The following is a 12,874-nucleotide window of genomic DNA, read 5'->3' on the forward strand; positions in this document are numbered from 1 at the left end:
TCCTGGGGATATGGGATGTAGAGAGGAACCTCTCTTGTTACGTATGAATGTCATTTAATAGTTACTAGGCACCTAATTCTGTTTGGTTTTGTATATCCAGGAAGAACGTCAAAAGGGTTGAACTATTCTTTTAGTCCTGTTCAATAGGGAGTACTCTAAAACCTAACTTATAGTTGAATGTTATTCTTAATACAGTGTTTATTACTTCATTTATAAAATGAGGTCAGTAATAGGATAGTGGGTGAGCTACTTTTATTTCCTAGTCAAGCATACAAATAAGAGAAAGTGCTATAAGACCAAATGTGGATAGTTTGAAAACAAGGTAACAAGTTTTCTGTATTTTTACTCCCCTGTTGCACTAATTAACATAATATTTTGAAGAGGCAAAAACAAAAAATGTCTTCACACTTAATTTTGCATCGCTCAGTCTTTAAGGTGTTGATCATGGCAGAATTTTAGTTTCCTGCTCAGCTATTCTCCTGGTACAACTGCCCATGGGTAATAAGCAACTGCACCAAGGTCTGCATGAAAACAGCATGGATAATATACCATTGGGTGTCTGACTGTTTTGCTCTGACAGCTTATATTGCTTCTTTTTGTCCTCCCCACCCCACTTGATACAGGGCATTGATGTGCGAGATGCTCCTCTGAAGGAAATCAAGGTGACCAGCTCCCGACGCTTCATTGCTTCATTTAATGTTGTGAATACCACCAAACGAGATGCTGGAAAGTACCGCTGCATGATTCGCACTGAAGGAGGTGTTGGAATATCAAACTATGCAGAGTTGGTAGTTAAAGGTATTTAATGTGTTTTTATACCAGAATATTCTTCTAAAGTAGATATGTTAGGTGTTGTTAGTTCATTATCCCTTTAAAGCTCAAACTTACCCTTGTCTGTTTCTGAGCAGTGGTTTGATGACAGGCTATTTTGATGGATTGCATTTTAAGTACAAATTTTGCACGTGAACAATATTTTTGAAAAATGTGTTTTATCTATGTTGATTTAGTTGCACAAAAAACAATGAATGTGCTCTTGGCAAAGTCTTCTGCCAACTCTATATACAGAGATTACAACTTATAAATTTTTTTTAAGGAATAAAATTTTTTACTGATGAAAAATCACTTAAAATGCAAATATTCATCAGCCAGCGTGTTTATGATAGCAGAGTGGTTAATAAAATGAAGCAGTGTCAGTATAAACATGCTCAGTCATATCACACAAGCCATATTGATAATTCTGTGTTAACATTCATAATGTTCCAGTTAGGTTCTATTACTATATTTTGCATGACTGAAAAATTGAGTCATTATATTTAAGAAGGTGGGGGATGAGGGAAAATAGAAAGGGGAAATAAGTTTCCTTTAGCCGGTTTAATGGGTTTTTTGTAGGCTGAGGAATTTATAGCATTAAGCCACCAAGACAATTTTTGGTCCCAGACAGGATAATTTGGACTTTGAGGTGTACCATGAGGCATTTTTAGACAACCTGTGGCAAGCCATTGCTGTTTTTCCTAGGAGAACAGAATGAGGACTGCTTTAAGAAAAGTTTTCCCTGCATTTGTTAAATATGGCACATAAAATTGATCTCTCTACATATATAATCCCAGCACTTTGAGAAGCTGAGGCCAGAAGTTCCAGACCAGCCTGGGCAACATATTGAGACTCCACCTCTACAAAAATTTGTAAAAATAAAAAAAGCTAGCCAGGTGTGGTGGCAGTGCCTATACTCCCAGCTAGTCAGGAGGCTGAGGTGGGAGGATTACCTGAGTCCAGGAGTTCTAGGCTGCAGTGAGCTATGATTGTGCCCCTGCATTCCAGCCAACCTGGACAGAGTGAGACCCTGTGTCTTAGACAAAAATTGTCTGTTTCTTATGTGGTATAAAAGCAATAGCTTTTATCTGCACATTTCTCAAGATAGGCAGCTTTAAAGATTGCTGGATTCAAATCCCAGAACTAGGTATGTGGCTATGGGCCAGTGGCTTGCCCTGTATGTGCTGCTGTTTCCTTGTGTGTAAGGTAGATATCAGATAATAATGTTATCTACCTTACAGGGCCATGAGGAAGATCAAATGCAAAGTGTATATTATATATAGGACACTTAGTATACATAGTGAGCAATGGGTGCTTGAAAGGCCCTTGGTGGGAAGGGAGAGGAGGACAGGGATAAACTTCTCTCTGGTCCAGTCTGTCAGTGGTCTTCACTGGGGAATGGATGTCTGAACTACCTTTCTGACTTTTTAAAAATGTAAATACCTGCCCACCTATTGTCTCCTCCCTGTCTGGCCACACCCATATTGAGTCAGAATATCCAGGGACACAGCCTCTGTTATAAAACCTCCAATGAGTCAGCCATATGCTCTGTTGTGAGATCACCACTGCCAGTGTTAGTTAGTCACACGTAGCTTATGGGGGACAGTGCACCCCAGTGAGGCCACCTCGAGAATCGTCTGCAGCAGTGACTGATGTTCGGCGTAAGGAAGTGCACATTAAGATATCTACTCGGATAATGTATTTGTCACAGCAGATTCTTAACATGTTTTTATTTGTGATGAGACTTGAACCAGCCTAATATTTAGGTTTAAAGTCTCTAACAAAACTAAGATTCTTCCCTGCTGTACACACCCTACCCTGTTGAAAGTGCTCTGGCAAGTGAGACATCATGATGTACAGAAAGGACACTAGTTTGCCTACAAACTGTTTTGTCATTTTAGAGTTCATCATTATCATCATCATTATTACTACCATTATTTAATTTTCATCTTGGTTCATTTGTTTTTGATTATTTTTCCTTTTCTTTCAGTTGCTATACTGCTTCACTGTGACCTGCCACTACCCATGTTATTGATTAGTGGGATGCAAATCTAGTAGTATCTCTAAAAATTCCCTTGTGGAAAAGTTAATTTGTTGGAAGTTATAAGTAAATTATAAATTTCTAGTCTACCTGAACAAACATAAATAGAAAGAATGAATAGATTCGTATTCATATTTGTGCACCACATTTTCCTGTCTTATGGCAGTGTAGTAGTATCTTGGCTCACTGTGATAAAAATTACCAGGGACTTATTTCCATTTCCGCACACTGCCACAGCTCATGACAATTTGCATGCAGTTAGGACTCAAATATGAAATTTAACTTTTTCTCCAATTATAATTTTATGGCCATATTTTGTATATAGATATATTTTTTAATGAGATAACATGCTAGATACTACTAGTTTTATAAGGTTATTACCTTGAGGCAATTACTTTAAAATATACACTAACATTTTTAGGCCACTTGTCTATAATTTAACACTTTTTTATATACCATATCATATTTGGAGTGCTAAATTTTACAAATGGGAGAAACTAAAGTCCATAGAGTTTTTAACCTTTTAAGGTCACACACTGATTTGTGGCCAGCCTCCCAAATAAAGACCAAGTCCTTTAATTGACTAACCATCACTCTCATCTTTATTCATGTCTAGCCACTTTTGATAACCAAGGACATAAAAATATTTCATATAATCTCCACAATGCATGTATATATGCATATATATATCAATACCCTATTTAGTTACGTTTCTATATTTCATATGTAAACATATTTCATACAGTTAAATATGATACTGACATATTTATTGATGTATTAGGCATTTACATGTGCGTATCCATTAGATATATGTCTGTGTGTGTATAAATACTGCCATTACTGGCTTGATTTAGAATTAGTTTTATGGTGTCCTTTCACTTGAATTAAGAAATATTTTAAATTGCATTTTATCACTTTGTACAGATTAAGATTCTTGCCTTCTCCTTCCTTCCTTCTTTACCTCTTTCATCCTTTCCCTTTGGGAAAATTTGTTGAAAATGCAAATGTGGCCGGGCACAGTGGCTCATGCCTGTAATCCCAGCACTTTGGGAGGCTGAGGCGGGTGGATCACAAGGTCAGGAGATTGAGACCATCCTGGCTAACACGGTGAAACCCTGTCTCTACTAAAAATACAAAATTAGCCGGGCATGGTGGCGGGCGCCTGTAGTCCCAGCTACTCGGAAGGCTGAGGCAGGAGAATGGTGTGAACCTGGGAGACAGAGCTTGCAGTGAGCCAAGATGGCGACACTGCACTGGGCGACAGAGCAAGACTCCATCTCAAAAAAAAAAAAAAAGAAAAGAAAATGTAAATGTTGGCCGGGCGTGGTGGCTCATGCCTATAATCCCAGCACTTTGGGAGGCCGAGGCTGGCAGATCACTTGAGGTCAGGAGTTCGAGACCAGCCCGGCCAACATGGTGAAACTCCATTTCTAGTAGAAATACAAAAACTAACCAGCTGTGGTGGCACACACCTGTAATCCCAGCTACTCAGGAGGCTGGGGCTGGAGAATCACTTGAACCTGGGAGGCGGAGGCTGCAGTGAGCCACGATGGTGCCACTGCACTGCAGCCTCGGTGACAGAGCAAGATTCTGTCTAAAAACGAAAATTTAAATGTTGCCGTATTCTTGTGCTGATTCTTCTGTAAACCAAAAGTCCTTTTGAATGTCTGTCCCAATTATTTCCAGGTTCTAGTTGAATACTTCATTTGATTTAGCATATCTGGTACTTTTCTTAATGGAGAATTAAAACAGAAAACATTCTCAGGAAACAAATGCATTAAAGTCCCATCTATTTTAGGATACTAGTTACAATGTCTTAAATGAGTGAGTGTACTCATGACCCTTTGTGACTTTGCCCCTGAGTTTCATTTTGAATGGCAGTTCAACAACCCTTGCTAGCATTTGCAACTCGAAAGTAATTAACTGCTCTTTCAGTCTGGCTACATAAATGCCTTAGGATGTACCATAAAAGGCCCATTTCATGTCTCGGTTCAAGGAATCGCCTAATGATATGAATTGATGTTAAATCATTGTGAGTTAAGGCAGAGCTGTTTAAAGAAATGAAAAACCAGCACAAAGTTTCAGTTTATAAACAACAGGAACAATATTTTAGTAAATTTACATTATGTTTGTAGTCTCTGAAGGAAAATTCATTCACAGTTTTGTGTCTTATTTTGACTTAGTCGAGTGAGATTTCCCCAGCAATTGTAAAAAGTCAGTATGACTTATCCCACCTTGAATATAAAAAAGAACTAAGACAACCAACTCAACAAAGGGAACCAATGTTGCTGGTTTTTAGCTGGTCTAGGAGTTTACCCGGTATCAGCTCAGGTGCAAACCTCATGTGGTGCTAGCTTCTCTGAGGTCCTCTGCAGCAGGGAACATGGCTGTGATCGATTAGCTATGTCTGCCATGCAAGAGGATGCAAGAGGGTAGCAGAAATTTCAGCAAGCAAGCCAGCATTCCAGTAATAGGATATAGCGGATTTTATTTTTCCGTGCATTTGTATGAGCAAAATGAGGAGTTAAAAACAGAACATGCCAAAAAGGCACAAACCACCCATAGATACAGTCTTGAAAAAAATCACTAGATTTATGTTTTTCTGAGAGGGAGATTTATGCCGGTAGAAATACGTTGTTTTGTACAATGATCTCATTTATCATGTGTGGTATCACCCACAGTGGCATCGGCATGTGGAATACCTTCATTTGGTGCCTAGAGAGCCTTTCAACGGGCATCTAACTAATATACTGGGAGTACTATTTATGATAAGATTGACAATGATATAGGAAAGAGTCGGTCTCAGATTTTAAACAAAGAGAGGGACTTTCTTGGGTTGTAAAGTGTGTTTGCTAGTGATTTCTTAGTTTTATCAAGCTGTGCATGGTATGTTTTTTGCTTCAGAGCTTTCCTTTCTATTCACTGCTTTAGTAAGACTTACTACTGGAAGTTCCCTGAATGGCAGCAGTGGTGGACTTCATTATCCAGAATGCTCGATTCTCCTGTAGCAAAATGAATCCATTGTGATAGTTATTTTGGAAAATGAGTCATCCTGGAAATGTATTTTTGATGAGATAAACTGTAATTTCAGGCATGTTTTTAAAGTGGTGATACCTTTGGAATATAAATATAAGGAAACAATTTAATGATATAAGAACTAATACCTTTGATGATTTTGAAGACATTCTCAATAAGGAGATTAACAATGAATGCTTCCTAGAGCTTAAATACTACTACTTGAGAGAACTTTTACCAGTTAACTTTAGTGGAAAAAAAAAATCCTTTGATATCTGTGTAACTGACTCACTGTAATGAGTGGGCTTACTCATTCAAGATATTGTAATTAGTATCCTAAAACAGGCATCACTTTAATGCATTTTTGTCTTGAGAATATTTTCTGTATTCACCATTACAAAAAGTATCAGATATGCTAATTTGCATATGCTATGCACGGTGGTTGGTGTCCTAAAACAAATTAGGGTTATGCCTACTTGAATAAGCTTATGTGTTTAAAGATGGTTTATTTCACAACTTTGAATGCTATGAAAATCTTTTTCAACATACTTTTTCTTGTTAACCCAAACAAAATTTTTCTCATCAATTTATTCCTGAAATTTTATTATCTTCTACATTTTAATAATTGATGCATGTTTAGCTCTTTTAAGACTGAAGACAAAGCATCTGAAAGACAGCTTTCTGGTTTGTCTTTCAGAACCACCCGTTCCTATTGCCCCACCTCAGCTCGCCTCTGTAGGAGCCACCTACCTGTGGATACAGCTCAACGCCAACTCCATCAATGGGGATGGGCCCATTGTGGCCCGAGAGGTGGAGTACTGCACGGCCAGTGGGAGCTGGAATGACCGGCAGCCAGTCGATTCCACGAGCTATAAAATTGGACACCTTGACCCAGATACAGAATATGAGATTAGTGTGCTCCTGACCAGGCCAGGGGAGGGTGGCACTGGCTCTCCTGGTCCAGCTCTCAGGACAAGAACAAAGTGTGCTGGTGAGTATAAGGAACCCTGCAATTAATTGTCATTGTCTTTCCTGGTGTTGACTGGCAGCACTGGGGTTGATCAGATGCCTAGCACGCTTCCCCTAGCTCTATCAAAACCTGCATATGAACAGAAAATGCCCTTAGCCTGTGAATAGTCAGCTAACAGCTTGTGAACTTGGGGACCAGTAACCTCCAGGCTTGGTATTTCTCAGCCTGCCCCCACCCTTTTTCCTATTGTTAATTTACTTCTTACTCTGAGTACCACATTGTTCATATAGGAATTGTCTGTGAAGTTTACAGAAACTGTCTACTCTAATGATGTCCTCTAATAGGTCAGACTCTCTTACTTGGGCCCCTTTGTTTTATGTTCATAGTTAATGTGCCAGCAGCCTGGAGGGGCTCTGGAATAACAGATTCCATCTTAGAGATAGCCTTAAAGATGTGTTTTCATTGATGAGTGTTTAATGGAGGGTCTGCTGGCGAATGACTTGGGCCTGTTTGTATCATAAGCAAGAGTGATTTGTGTGCTGGGTGCAGTCTTTAGTTTCTTAGATTATAAATTTCTAATTGTGCTAAACCCATTCCGCAACTTAAGTAAAAGTAGGGTTAATGGAGAGAGAAGTGTAAAATCTTCCAAAAATCAAAACCTGAATGAAGCTCCCCAATTAGAGATTGTAGTGTTGTTTCCGTATGGCTACTCTGTGGTAGGAAGCAGAGAGAAACAGTATATTGGGATATTTAAGTGCTCTTTTGTCTTGTAAATGAGGAATTTCTGTGTTGAATTGTGTGCTGAGATGAGGAGATTCCATAAATTGTTATGGTGTTAGTTAATTATTCAGATAGCATTAGATAAGAATACATTTATCAATGTTTCATTTCTTTCTTAAGTTTTAAAAATGCTTAGCATAGTCAGATTCTATCTGGTAGGAGTAAGAGAAATTATTAAACCTTAACCATTGTAGCTGGTTTTTAAATTTTTTCTTCATAATTTGTATTATACTGTTTCCACAAGTTCAATACTCATGGAAAATTCTGTATTTTAAAAAAGACTTTTGTTAGAAAAGGGAACAGGTACTTTTTTCTTCTGGGGATACATGCTATTGAGTACAGGGACTGGCCTGGGTTAGTAGACTGTGTACTTTGCTGTTTTGTACATCTTTCATCTGTTTCTCAGACCCCACATCTGTATCCTCGTGGCACCTTTGTGCAGGCAGTCTGGTCCCTGGAATAAGACCTGCTGTTTTGATTTGGTGATTCCCACAGCCCTGAGTGGTGGCTCTAAGGAGAAAGGAGAATTTCCCAATCCTTTCTCTTCCTGTCTTCTTTAAACCTCGTCATCTCCTCTATTTAGTTGAATAAATTCCATCATTGTTGTAAAAGTTTTATCTTACCATTTGTTGCAATGCAAACAATAGCTATGGATAATACTGCCTATATCATTTGACAAGATAGGCATTGCTTTCAAATCTGTTATTTTACCACTGCCTTATGAATTCTCCAGGGCAGGTTCTTTGATCCCCATAATACAGATGGTGAAAGTGAAGCCCGTGTGAGCTCCTTTCTACTTCTAAGCTCACTCTGTAAGAAGTAAGTTTAGTGTTATTTCACTTTAGTGTTAAGAATTCCTGTTTTGGGCATGGCAATATATGGTTTCTCTCTCTCTCCAAAAGCAGGTTAGAATTTCATTGTTTAGACTGGAGAGAGACTGTGATCTGTTTCAATTCTAGTCACTAGCAGCCCCACCTACATAATGTTTCCAGTCCTGTTCTTTTTTTTTTTTTTACACATTTTTGCCTTTTCTTTTGGTTTTGTGTCTGTACATCTCAGCTATTGACACATTGCTGTATATATATCCACTGATTATAATGCATGTGTCTGTGTTTTCAGGAAGCCTTTTGATGCTGCTGCATAATGTGTAAATGGATAATGCTCAAAGAGACAAATTACCTTTTAATAATAGATTGACAGTTATTTTTAAGAAATGAAAACCAATTTTGAATTGATATTTGTAGGCCCACACTGTGCCTCAATGTATGAAACCTCACCTAAACCAGGAAGCCTAATGACGATGCGCCCTTTCCTCTTAACTGTTTGCAGCCTGCAGTTGGCACTGTTCGTGATGCATGGTCTGGTTGTGCCCTGTGCTGGCATGGAGTCACCCTTAGAAAATGGAGAGAGATATGTTAGGTGAAAGGGTCAAAGTTAGAAAGAAGAGGGGAAGGCATGTTAGGTGGGTGAGGAAAGTGAAAGGTGAGGAAAGTGAAGTCAAATGAGACTTTTTGCTATAGGAAGAAATATGGTTCACCCTTTCTTGACCTGGGGTTTTGAGAAAATCTGCAGGTAATATCAGTAATCACTGATTATGATCAGTGTGGAATTTTGGGAAGCAGGAGCAAGTTAAAGGGAAACGTGTGCTGTAAATTATAGACTGAAAGTTTGGTATCAGTCCCAAAGTATTATTCAGATGGTTTGTGAGCATTTAGAGTACCTAAAGAGCAAATCATGGATTTCATAAACATGGGAGAGACTAGAAGCATTCTGCAGCAATAAGTGGAAAACATCCTTGGCCAGGGGCAAATGGTTGATGAATCTAACAGGGTGATAAGTAATAGGAATAAATCTAAATCCTTCCTGTATGGTTCAAAAAAGCCAAGAGTACTGGCTTGGAATTAGAGTAATACAATTTAGCAGCAATATGTATGAAGAAGAGATTGAGGATTTGGCTTCAATGCAAATGAATCTACAATATCATCCATCTTGTATAAATTATCCCTGTGATGTTAGTGCCTCACCATCCCCTGCAAAAAAAAAAAAAAAAAAATCCTAAAATAATCTTAGGTTGCATCAGGAAAGCAAAATGCCCATATTGAAGGAGGTGATAGCCTTACTCTACCAGTGCTGTTTAGGCTTCTCATAATTCTCACATTTATTTCTAGTTCCTGCTTTTTAAGAGAGACAGCACAAAATAGATTTTGCCCATGGGGAGAGCAATCAGGATAGGAAAGGATGTGGAACCTTTCTTAACTAATGAGGAATGGTGGAAAGAACTGAGAAGGGGATGGGGAGGAAAGGGCACCTGTGTAAACTCGACAAGATCTGAGTGAGTTTCTTGTGGCTGATTTGTTCAAGCATAACCTGACATGGTAGAAATTGATTTCTATATTCAGAAGAGGATTGAGCTGGTTGACCTTGAAGATCTCTTCAGTATGAAATTCTATGATTCATTTCTTGTTTGCTTTCTGATGAGATGATCCACCGGATATTTCTACCCTGAAAGCCTTTCAGTTTCATTTTTATTTCATCCTTGTCTAAATACTCCATAATCATGCTTATCAAGTACTATTCTTTGGGCAGTGAAGGTCTGCTATTACATTTCCAAAAATCCGAGCAAAGGGGGAGAACGTATAAGTTTTTATTACAGTGAAGTAAAATAAATTTGAAGGACTGACTCACTCTGAGATTTCCTGCCTGGGTTTTGTGCTAAAACATCACTTCAGTTCTTGAAATAATAGTGCTTTTGGGTGCTAGAGCCAGAGTCAGCGGTTGAGAACACAGGCTCTGGGAGCAGCTACCTGAGTTTTAGTGTTGGCTCTGCCTGGCACTAGACATAGGACTAGAGAAAAACTGCTAACCCTCTCTGGGCCTGAGTTGCCTTATCTATAAAACAGAGGTGATGATAATAATAATATGTGTTTCATTGTTTTGTTGTGAGCCTTAATGAGCTACTGAATATCAGTTGCCTAGAACAAACTCTTACATATAGCATGTGGTCAATCAGAGTTAACTACCATTTAATAAATTTTTGTCTTTTAATATTTTCATTCAGAAGAATTAGACACTGGCTACCTCATTACCCAATGTTTTAGAAATATTGCTTATCTGGGAAATCTAAAATCTGAGAACCATGATTTCTATTGTGGGCTCATAGAATTCTTTGCAGTTGTGCATTATGTTCTCATCTGTTAAATCTGTTTATTTTGGCCAAGCTCTGTGTTTTCGTTTCTGTGCTGCATCAGTGACACCTGTCCTATCATTTTTTGGTGACACCCATGAAACTGTATTTAGCTTCTTGTATTAAAATGGCAAGATCACTATTTATTACCCATCATTCCTGTGTGGCTTGTAGACACAGTCTCATTACCTGGTTGGATTTCTGCAAGGATTGTATTGTAACACACTTCCAAAACTCTTGCTTCTTATGCTTCTGAAAATTATTTCCAAATATATGCACAAGCTCTCCATGCAAGACCTTGATCCAATCACATAGCTTCCCTGATTCCACATCTTCATCTCTAATTTGGGGCAGCAACACCTGCCCTGACTGTATCAGTGGTGTTTTTGAAGATCAGGGTAGATTTTATCTGTAAAGACATTTTTCAAAGTGATAAAATGCCCTGTCAATATGGGTTATTGTAAAAAGTGATTATAGTCAAGCTACCTTCAAGCTTTATATACATATCCAGTTGTTTTCCAACTTTGCAGTTCAGCTATAGTTGGGTAACTTCAGAGAGTTAAAATTACTTCAGCATCCAGTTAAACAAAATGCAATTTAGTTTGTGATTTCTAATGTATCCTATATTCTCAAATTATGTGCAGCCTGTATATCATAAGCCATTGAATAGTAGCTACTTGAAACAGAGAAATGGGTGATGTTGTTAGATTAATTTTCACAGTGGGCTTTTTTATGTGTTTTATTTGGAGATACTTCTTTTTATGTATTCTGGTTATTGGTTATTAACTGTGGTTAAGTGACTTGCCAATAACTGGCCCCAGGAGCTAACGAAGGATTATTATAAACTAATGACTAAACAATTAAGATTGGTGAGAGTGAAGCAAAGCTTAATTAAAATGTGTCCTTTAGCATTAATATACCTAAAAATATTTGAAACAATAATGATTGCACCTTAAAAAATTATCCATAAGATGCATATTGAGCATCCGTATTTGCCGGGCACTATTCCAAGCCCTGCCAGTAGAGTGACAAGATTTCTGTCTTCAGAACTTATATATTTTGGGGTACTGGAGGAAGGGAGTATATAGGCAACATATATATATATATATATATATATATATATACACACACACACACACACACACACACACGTGTGGCCAAGGCAGGAGGACTGCTTGATACTAGGAGTTTGAGGACAGCCAGGGAAACATAGCAAGACTCCATTGCTACAAAAAATTAAATGAAGAATAATTAGCTGGGCACCGTGGCATACATCTGTAGTCCCAGCTACTTGGAAGGCTGAGATAGGAGGATAACTTGAGCCCAGGAGTTGGAGATTGCAGTGAGCTGTAATCACACCACTGCACTCCATCATCGACAGAGTAAAACCCTGTCTCTAATATATATATATTACTCACATACCTACACACAACACATGTGTATACAATACAGTGTCAGATAAATGATAAATGTTATGAAGAAAAATAGAAGAAGGGATAGAGAATAGAGAGGTAGGAGATGATATTTTTTATTATTTTACTATGTTTAAATACACATAACAAAACTTACCATCTTAACGAGTTTTAAGTGTACAGTTAAATCATGTTAAGTATATTCAGCCAATCTCCAGAACCTGTTTCTCGTGTGTGGGTACATAGTAGGTGTATATATTTATGAGGTACACGAAATATTTTGATACAGGCATGCAATATGTAATAATCACATCGGGGTAAATGGGGTATCCATCACCTGAAGCATTTATCCTTTGTGTTACAAACAATCCAGTTACACTCTTTGTTATTTTTAAATGTACAATTATTATTGACTCTTGTCACCCTATTGTGCTATCAAATACTAGTTTCATTGAGAATCTTTACATCTTCCCAAACTGAAACACTGCATCCACTAAACACTAACTCTCCACTCCCCTTCCCCATAACCCTGGCAACCACCAGTCTCCTTTTTGTCTCTATGGATTTAACTATTTAGGTGTCTCCTATAAGTGGAATCATGCAGTATTTGTCTTTCTGTGACTGGCTTATTCCACGTAGCATAATGTTCTCCAGGTTTATCC

The 12,874-nt window shown here is 38.1% G+C and overlaps 1 protein-coding gene across 36 annotated transcripts in view, besides 1 other annotated feature; it reads left to right on the plus strand.

The window, feature by feature from the left end:
- Positions 1-12,874, plus strand: part of PTPRM (protein tyrosine phosphatase receptor type M) — an 839,541-nt gene that overhangs the window by 381,242 nt on the left and 445,425 nt on the right. For all 36 annotated transcript variants that reach the window (XM_011525708.3, XM_047437715.1, XM_011525712.3 and 33 more), the window contains 2 exons: positions 624-798; positions 6,564-6,857. In XM_011525708.3, the coding sequence (XP_011524010.1) occupies positions 624-798; positions 6,564-6,857 (469 nt within the window). The remainder of the gene's footprint in view (positions 1-623; positions 799-6,563; positions 6,858-12,874) is intronic.
- Positions 9,155-9,656: an enhancer, noted in NCBI's record as "NANOG hESC enhancer chr18:7957710-7958211 (GRCh37/hg19 assembly coordinates)". NCBI's record gives its function as "activates a minimal SCP1, AML or CMV promoter by ChIP-STARR-seq in naive H9 embryonic stem cells {active_cell/tissue: H9 hESC(naive)}" and the evidence as "EXISTENCE:reporter gene assay evidence [ECO:0000049][PMID:30033119]".

This window comes from Homo sapiens, chromosome 18, assembly GCF_000001405.40.
Source record: "Homo sapiens chromosome 18, GRCh38.p14 Primary Assembly".
In the NCBI taxonomy this organism is placed as follows: domain Eukaryota; kingdom Metazoa; phylum Chordata; class Mammalia; order Primates; family Hominidae; genus Homo; species Homo sapiens.